Source organism: Homo sapiens, chromosome 12, assembly GCF_000001405.40.
Source record: "Homo sapiens chromosome 12, GRCh38.p14 Primary Assembly".
Lineage (NCBI taxonomy): Eukaryota > Metazoa > Chordata > Mammalia > Primates > Hominidae > Homo > Homo sapiens.
Genome location: NC_000012.12, coordinates 128187124 through 128196729, shown reverse-complemented (window position 1 = coordinate 128196729; position 9606 = coordinate 128187124). Strand labels below are relative to the sequence as shown.

General features: G+C 47.4%; 1 annotated feature.

Annotated features, from left to right (window-relative positions):
• Positions 5622-6621: an enhancer, noted in NCBI's record as "H3K4me1 hESC enhancer chr12:128674654-128675653 (GRCh37/hg19 assembly coordinates)". NCBI's record gives its function as "activates a minimal SCP1, AML or CMV promoter by ChIP-STARR-seq in primed H9 embryonic stem cells {active_cell/tissue: H9 hESC(primed)}" and the evidence as "EXISTENCE:reporter gene assay evidence [ECO:0000049][PMID:30033119]".

Here is a 9606-nt window from a genome sequence, read left to right as displayed (position 1 = left end):
TATGAAATGTGCAGAATAGTTAAAGCCATAGGGACAGAAAACAGGCAGGTGATTGCAAGGGGACGGTCGGGGTTGGGGGGTGTAACTGTTTAATGAGCATAGGGTTTTATTTTGGAGTCCTGAAAATATTTTGGAACTAGATATATGTGGTGATTGTACAACATTGTGGCTATACTAAATGCCACTGCACCACACACACACACACACACACACGATCAGCAAGAAGGTGAAAATAAAAAGAAAACTGCTTAGCAATGCTCTGGATACATTATAAAAGACAAATAACTGATGACAGTTGTTTTTCCCCCATCTTCTCTTTCTTTTCCTGCTTTCCTCTTCCACCCCTTTCCCCTCTCTCCACCTCTGCATTCTTGTCTTGCCCTGTGTCCGTCAGTCTCAGATGGTGGCTCAAATGTGGAGAAAGTTTAGTAAAGAAGCTACTTGCAAAGGGTGGGGGCAGGATGTTGGGAATAAAGGGATGTCATTACATCCCAGGGTCATGGAGTCCCTACCACTCATGTCCGAAGGGGCAGGAAGAACCCTTTGGTGGTGATGCTACACCAGGATTGAGTAAGCACCCTTCTCTCTGATCTGCACCCTTCTCTCTGATCTGCTGGAGCGTCTCAGTGGTCAGGATTGAGTAGAGTAAGCACCCTTCTCTCTGATCTGCTGAAGCGTTGCAGTGGTCAACCTGGTTGAAAGCCATGGGGTGAGGGAGGGCATGGAGGTAGTCCTCTCAGGTCAGCCTCCCACGGCAGAGAGTGAGAGAACACGACAGGAGGGTGAATGGAGGGAAGGAGCCACAGAAGGTCTCAGACGCAAGAGAGCCTCTCTTTAATCCTCAGTTCTCCAGGGAGTCTTGGCAGTGGGTAAAAATGTAGACAGAATGTTATCAATGATTTTTGTAGGTAGGGACAAGTGAAAGTCCTAAGGTGACTGCAAGAATAATACTTTTTTTTTTTTTTTGAGATGGAGTTTTGCTCTTGTTGCCCAAGCTGGAGTGCAATGGCGCAATCTCGGCTCACTGCAACCTCTGCCTCCCATGTTCAAGCAGTTCTCCTGCCTCAGCCTCCTAAGTAGCTGGGATTACAGACGTGTGCCACCACGCCTGGCTAATTTTTTGTATTTTTAGTAGAAACGAGATTTCACCATGTTAGCCAGGCTGGTCTCGAACTCCTGACCTCAGGTGGTCCACCGGCCTTGGCCTCTCAAAGTGCTGGGATTACAGGCATGAGCCACCACACCTGGCAAGAGCAAATCTTTACAGCATGGCAAAACAGCTCTCATAAGCAGGACAGTGATGACCTGTGTTGTGGTAATGTAGTTCATGGACAATGAAAGGTGACTTTGCTCCCACAGACTTGCCTTCTATAGCCACGGCCATGGGTAAACTGAGTTAGCCAGCTTCACATGTACCACCTACCTCAAATGGTGACACCATTAGGCATTCGTGGAGAGATTATTTTCCATTATCTACCTTCTTAGTCACCTCTAGTTTCCAATTGACTGGTGTAATAAAATGAAGACAAATTGAGGCCAGGCACGGTGGCTTGCGCCTGTAATCCCAGCACTTTGGGAGTCCGAGGAGGGTGAATCAAGAGGTCAGGAGTTCGAGATCAGCCTGGCCAATGTAGTGAAACCCCCGTCTCTACTAAAAATACAAAAACTTAGCCGGGCTTGGTGGTGCATGCCTGTGATCCCAGCTACTCGGGAGGCTGAGGCAGGAGAACAGCTTGAACCCAGCAGGCGGAGGTTGCAATGAGCCGAGATCGTGCCACTGCACTCCAGCCTGGGCAACAGTGTGAGACTCCATCTCAAAAAAAAAAAAAGAAAAAACAAAACCACAAAACAAAACAAAACAAAAAACAAATTGAATATGAATTGATGACATCAAATGCATCACCGCATTTGTCTCCTCCCAGTTAGGATTTCGAAAGATAATTTCTCTGAGCTTCACAGTGGCATGGCCTCTTGAAGCTGGGGGGCTGCCAAGTGCGGTTTAATGTTTTTAGATAGCACACACCCTGTTAAACCCCGCGCCATCAATCAGAACCACAGTAATCACAGAACTTGGGTTCTCATATCTGAAACCAAGAAACATTTAATGAGGTCAGTTGGAACTGGACATAAGATGTTTACACGGCTATGATTTGATCTATTAGGCAGTTCATTGAAATCTATGGAGATTGGTGCTTTTCCATTTTGCGTATCTGCCACTTGCAATCTTCATCAAAATGAGCCTGTGTCTCCTGACCCAGTTACTCTTTCATCAGTGACCTGAGGTGGAGCAAACCAACATGCTCAAGGCACTTCAGGCTTTGGGATCAAGGCCATGTTCATGGCCAAATGACTGGACAACTTTGTCCATGCATAACTCAGGTGAGGTATTACTCTGCCCTGCTGCAGACTAACAAACGCTGACTCTCCAGCTCAGCCTAACTCAAGAACACAAGGATTAGTGTCCTCTCGGACTCCCCCAATGTGTTCATCACTGAATTTTCTTTGTTCTTGGCTCTGGAAGAACTGGGTGTCAGATTCTTTTTCCTTTTCATGCAGCTCAAAGGTTTTCTCCAAAGGCAGTTCAGAAATGACTTTCCTCCGACTCCGTGACTGGTGTCTCCTAATTATTGCCTTTGCTTATGGTTATTACTCACTGCAGGGACATGCCTGATCCACAGCAACTCCTGACCGTGGGTCAGTGAGTGGCCAGTGCTCACCGATGCCCTAATGAAGTTGGCTGATGTTCTATGTGGTGCGTCTAAATATACCACTTCTCTAATGACCACAAACTCAGTAGCTATCTAGCACATTTCTCTGTTCAGGTGGTTTTGGCATTTTTAGGCAAGAAGAAACTGCTATTAGGGACTGACAGAAATGTGCTGCACTTAATTTTTATACCTGCATACAGAGGTGTTGAAAATCAAGATCAAGTGAGGTCAAAGATACATCACTATTGGGGATGACATGGGCAAGGTAATTACCTGCTCTCTGCAGGGACAGCATAGTCTCTGTCACAAAGTGGCCTAAGAATACAATTCTGGAGAGGAGAGATTATTAGGGAGACTGAGGTTTAATGAACACACCGGGAGGTTAAGTTTTTGCATTCAGTGAAAACTAGTAAAGGGAAGGTACTTGTCACTCAATGCCAGAAGATGAGAGGAGGAGATGGGGAATTCTATCTGACATCTATCAGCAGCAAACTATCCAGACTTCACTTGTGAAATATGGACCTTGTCAACTGGTAGGACACAGATAGTCCTGCTCACTTTATTAAGGCTGGGAGCAGTTTCTTTGTACTACTGACCTTTCTAGGGGAGCAGTGATTACCACAGGACAAGCTCTGGTCACTGTCTCTGCCCAGCTGCCCATGTTGGTTCCCCAGGGCAGGGGCTGTGGATGGCTATCATGGGGTGGCTGCACTGGAATCGACCGGGGCCAGGCTCCTTCCTCTGCTGAGTCTGACTGCAGGCTGAAGGCTGTCTCCACACTCAGGGGTGTCAGCATCAGTCAGGAGACGGCGGTGGTCAGACAGCAGCTGGGCACAGGGGAGCACAGAGCTGTAGGCCCAGGGTCAAGGCACTGAGTGATGGGCCAGGATTCTGCAGTGATACAAATGTTTTTGGGCTGTTTCTTTCTGAATTAAAAGAGCCCCACATGTCTGACGGATTCACCAGGGGAAGATACAAAGGACAGGGTCGCAGGGCTTGATAGAGTCTGAACAACTGGACTCAGCCATTGACAATGTCCAGAAACATATTTCCCCAATCCGAGCTTTTCCCCAAAAACTTTAGTTCACAGTTCCTATTTTGTTGATGAGTTTTACTTATGAAAAGTAAATGTACTTATGGAAAGTATAATCCACTTGAAAACTCCAACTGGAAGCTTATATAGAAAATTCTCCAGCCTTATAAACTATCAGGGGTCATCGGTGAAAATGTCCACAGGAGTGAGGTGGGTAATGTAAAAATGGGAGGAGGAAGAGCTGGACTTGAAATTCACTGGGGGCCAAAACCAGTGAACCGGTGGGGGCAGGTAGGGCTGAGGGCACCCTGCAGGAGCCTGGCCCACTTGGGAGCAGTGCCGCCCACGGTCAGGGGCACAGGTGCAGCTGCACTGTGTTTCCTCATCTGTAAATGGAAGGAGACTTAGAACAATAGTGATAATACAACCCACAGCACAGGCCGGCTGTGAGGTTCCATAGAGACGGCAGGAACCTGGAAAAACGCCCATCACAGGTAAGTGCAACGCTAGTGTTAGCTATTATTATTTTACTTCCACTTTTCCAGAGAAAGCAGCTGTCTCGATTTTTAAAATGTGAAATCTAATTTTAAATGTGAATGGTACATTTAAATTACAAACATATTACATATATACACACATATATTCCAATGAAACAGTTCATTATGAATATGTAACAAATAAATGTATACATATATACAAATCATACATATATATATATATATATATATAAATGTATATATTATGTAATAAATATATGAAAATGGAATACATAAAGATATAGTATATCTGAATTTATACATGCATACTTAAATGTATATATGCTAAAATATTTAATAAAATATATAAATATATAGTAGTACATATTCCCCATATAGCAGATATTATATATGTCATATATAACACTATTATAGGCTATAAATAATAAATTATATATTATATAGGGTATATATATATATAGAATTCAATGAGTTAATATATATACAATGAAAGGACCTAAAAATGTAATATATATTATATATGTAATGTGTAGTAGATTATCATGTGTAATATATGATAAATAAAATTTATTATCAACATACAATGCATGTATTCCAATGAAATAAGGCATGTTCCCACGGTATATTTGGGCGGTGCCATCTCTGACCTAAAATAACTCGCTCTGACATAATCCCTGAGGAAGGATGCCTGTAAGAGCCCATGGTTCCCAGCATGCTCCTGCAGAGCCGGGCTCACCCCCTGCCTCCAACAGCCCTTCTAGACGCAGGCTCCACCTTTAGCCTGTGGAAGAAAGAGCAGCCCTGGGCATCACGTGACCATCCCCACCCCTCGCCCCCCTCCACTGCTGATTGGTCCAGGGATGAACGTCTGCTCCAAGGCTGGGGAGGGGGACCAATTGGGCACTCTCAATAATACATCCAAGGCAGAGATTGGGCCAATGGGTGGTGATCTCGGTCTGGGCAGAGATTGGGCCAATGGGTGGTGATCTCGGTCTCGGGGGGCCGGGGCGTGGAGTGCGGACGGGCAGCCGGTTGGGCTGGGCCCGGAAGGGTGTGCAGTAGAGCAAGAGGAGGAAGTGGAGGGAAAGGAACCAGATGCTTCTGAGACAGGCTACCATCTCTGCGTGCAGTCCCCGCGGAATTTACGCACTTTCGTCTTGTGCTCTTAGATGTTCTCCAGGTAGACTGCAACCAACACCTTTAGAATAAACCCACCTGTGCTTGGGCCAGCCTGAGAGGTCTTCATTCCTTGCTGTCCAGAAAACCTTCAAAGGCTGCAGCATAACCAGCTTCTAACATTGTCCACTGGAGCAGGTTATTTAATTTCTCTTTCTCACATGCAGAGCAATAGTGGCCAGGAGCTCCCAGCAGGCTTCCCTCAATCCCTCTGGCCAGACGGGAAACGTTCCCAAGCTCTCCCTGCGTAACCGGCTGCAAAAGTGGGGATCTGGCATTCTCAGCTTCCAGCGAAGGAAGGAGAAGGCCTTTGAAATCAGGAGGAGGGGCTGGGAATGGCTTCTGGGTGGAGAACCAAGACTCTGCATTAGTTGAGCCCAGAGGTCAGGGCTAATTTGTGAATCTCTGTGGCCCAGCGTCCGGCCACGCACACCGGAAGGGCTCTGTGCACACATATTCACACCAAGGACAGTGGCAGGAGTAATTGATCCCATTTCTGGGCTGCGTTATTGAAAGCAGCAGGGGGCGCTACTCCCATAGCAAACAATGCGAGTGGGGCTACGGAGAGCGTGCAGCCGGCTCCGAGACCCCTGAGCGGCAGGTCCCGTGCTGAGGTCTCTGCTTAATTATCTGATTCGCTCTCCATTATCTGGGAGGAGAGGGTTTCCCCGCTTCATAGCCCCCGTACTTCTAAAGGAATCATATTTGTAACAGGTCTGTGAGAACGGGCTTCAGAGAAGATGAGCTTCTGGGGCAGGGCTAGGACTGCAGAAAAGACAGCTTTTATCACTCTAACACAGGTGTGTGCTTCAAGGCACCTGCGGCCCTGACGCCTCACCCCACTGGCCAGCGTCGGGGTCGGTAACCACAGGCAATGGCTGGCATCTCACCAGACACCCGGGAGCTGGAGAAGTCTAAGAAACAGAGAGAGATGCTGCAGGAGCGTACTGATTCGAATGACCAAGAACACACACACGCACACACTCTCACACACACGCACCCCACACACAGAGTGCCACACAGTCACACACGCACAGCACACAGAGCTCCACACACACACACGCACACACTCTCACACACACACCCCACACACAGAGTGCCACACAGTCACACACGCACACCACACAGAGCTCCACACACATACTCGCACACACTCACACACACACACACACGCTACTCAGACACAGACTCATACACACACAGTCACATACACACACCACACACAGTGCCACACACACATGCACACACTCATACACACACTCATGCACACAACCCCCCACAAACATACTCTAACAGTCTCATAGTCTCACACACGCACACACACCACACAGAGTGCCAGTCACACACACACTTATATGCACACACGCATGCACACAGCCCCCACACATACTCTAACACAGTCACACACACTCACACGCAGGCACATACATGCACTCGCTGACATTCACACACACAGCTACACACATACTCTAACACCGACATCCAGACATACTCTAACACTCTCTCACCCCTACACACTCACACACCTAACGCATACACACATGCTTTTGCTCACACAGTGACAGACATATTCACACTTACACACCTATACACACCCGCACACTAACACTGGTCACACTCTACCACACATACACACACACTCCGCTCACACCCTCACATTCTCACACACACTCCCTCACACACCCTCACATTCTCACACACATGCCCTCACACACCCTCACATTCTCACACGCCCTCACACACCCTCACATTCTCACACGCCCTCACACACCCTCACATTCTCACACACACTCCCTCACACACCCTCACATTCTCAGACACACGCCCTCACCCTCACATTCTCACACTCACACATGGCTTCACACACCCTCACATTCTCTCACACACTCCCTCACACACCCTCACATTCTCACACTCACACACGCCCTCACGCTCGCATCTCACTCTCACACATGCCCTCACACACCCTCACATTCTCACACACACTCCCTCACACACCCTCACATTCTCAGACACACGCCCTCACCCTCACATTCTCACACTCACACATGGCCTCACACACCCTCACATCCTCTCACACACTCCCTCACACACCCTCACATTCTCACACTCATGCCCTCACGCTCGCATCTCACTCTCACACACGCCCTCCACACCCTCACATTCTCACACTTACACACACTTGCTCTCACATTCTCACACTCACATGCCCTCACACACCCTTGCATTCTCACACACGTCCTCACATATATGTCCTCACACATTCTCAAAAACACACGACCTCACACACCCTCACATTCTCACACTTACACACACTTACATTCTCACACATGCCCTCACACACCCTCGCATTCTGACACAGACTTACACACTCATATTCTCACATTCGCACACACCCTCATGTTCTCACTCACGCCCTCACACACTCACATTCTCACACACATGCCCTCACACACCCTCACATTCTCACACTCACACACCCTCACACACCTTCATATTCTCACACTCATGCCCTCACACATTCTTACACTCACACACTCTCACACACCCTCACATTCTCACACTCACACACTCCCTCACACACATTCTCACACTCACACACGCCCTCATACACTCTCACATTCTCACACTTACACACAACACTTACACACACACACGCAAGGCATGGCAGGGACAGCTGGTTAATCACCAGAGCTTTATGCCACCTTCTGTAGTGTGGAGCTCATCTGTGAAGCAGTTGCCCAGCCCCTGGCCACACTTCACATCCCCTTTGCTACCTGTTGGGGCCACGAATCTATTTCTGGTCAAAGGAACGTGAGCAGTATTGCTAGAGAAAATACAGGTGGCTAGATAAAATTGGGATGTCAGGCAAGCAATGAATACCTTTTGTGTTATGGAATATACTTATCCTAAGCATTGCATGGACCTACTTATACTAGAATAATTATTATTTTCTGGGATCCCTTCCACAGAGACTTTGGGAGCCGAGGTGAAGATGGCGCAACTACCAGAGGGAGAGCTGGATTCTAGAGTCCCCACTTGCTTGCCTGGAAGGAGATCTGCTCAGAACTGCCAGGATGTCAGAACACGGCTCTGTACGAGCTCCTGAGATCCAGGGCTGTAGTTGTGAGAATTTGTCCTAATGCCTCTGGTCTTTGCCTGTGCTTCAGCTTATTTGGGGGAACAAAACCAATCTGATTGCTCTCAACATCCAGTTGTCACTGATTGGGTTCAAGGAAATTATTTTATCTTCAGAAAACATTTTGTTATTTGAAGCAGCTATATAAGTGAGATAAATATATTTGATACATATGTACAGATTTATATATATATAGCACCAAACATACATATATATTATATATATATATTTCATATAAGCGTACATATGCCTTCCGGTCTCTGAAAAGTGAGAGGAAAATAGGAAACTAATAATATTTGACCCCTGTATCATTCAGGGCCCTGGTTTGAACAATGCACTGAAAGTGCTTCTGGAAGAGGACTTAAGGAAGGCACTATTTACAAAGGTGTGGACAGAATTAAGGGAAGCCAACGGGGTGGTGAAACACACAAGGCTGAGTAACAGGGGAAGCCTTCCAGCCCCCAGTGGGACCTGTCAATGGGAGGGCCAGGTCACTGGAGCCTGAGTGATGGTAGAAGGGCCACCCAGGAGAAGCCGTGTCCCTTGGTGGAGGGACACAGTCACTTCCAACGTGTGGCCCAAAGTTGCAGGGGGCGGGTCTGGGAAGCAGAGTTGTAAGTATCCTGATCTTTCTCATCTTCTGCTCTCTGATCTCCTTGGTGCCTCCCGTTCATCAACCCAATCTGGATGCTGGAAGACAGGGGGTTTAATTCATGCAGTATTTGAATATTACATCCCTGAGATGCAGGGTAGGGTGGAGAAAAGCTGAGGGTGGACTTGGAGGGGCGCAAGAAGAACACCCAGTTCAGCCTCTCACAGAAGTCTTTGACCTTGAAGGAGACCTGCTCCACCATTACACTTTCCCCTCAGTGATCATGTTTGGCAGGTGTATTAGTCTATTCTCATACTGCTAATAAAGACATACCCAATATTTGGTAAGTTATAAAGGAAAGAGGTTTAATTGACTCACAGTTCCACATGGCTGGGGAGGCCTCACAATCATGGCAGAAGATGAAGAAAGAGCAAAGGCACATCTTACATGGCAGCAGGCAA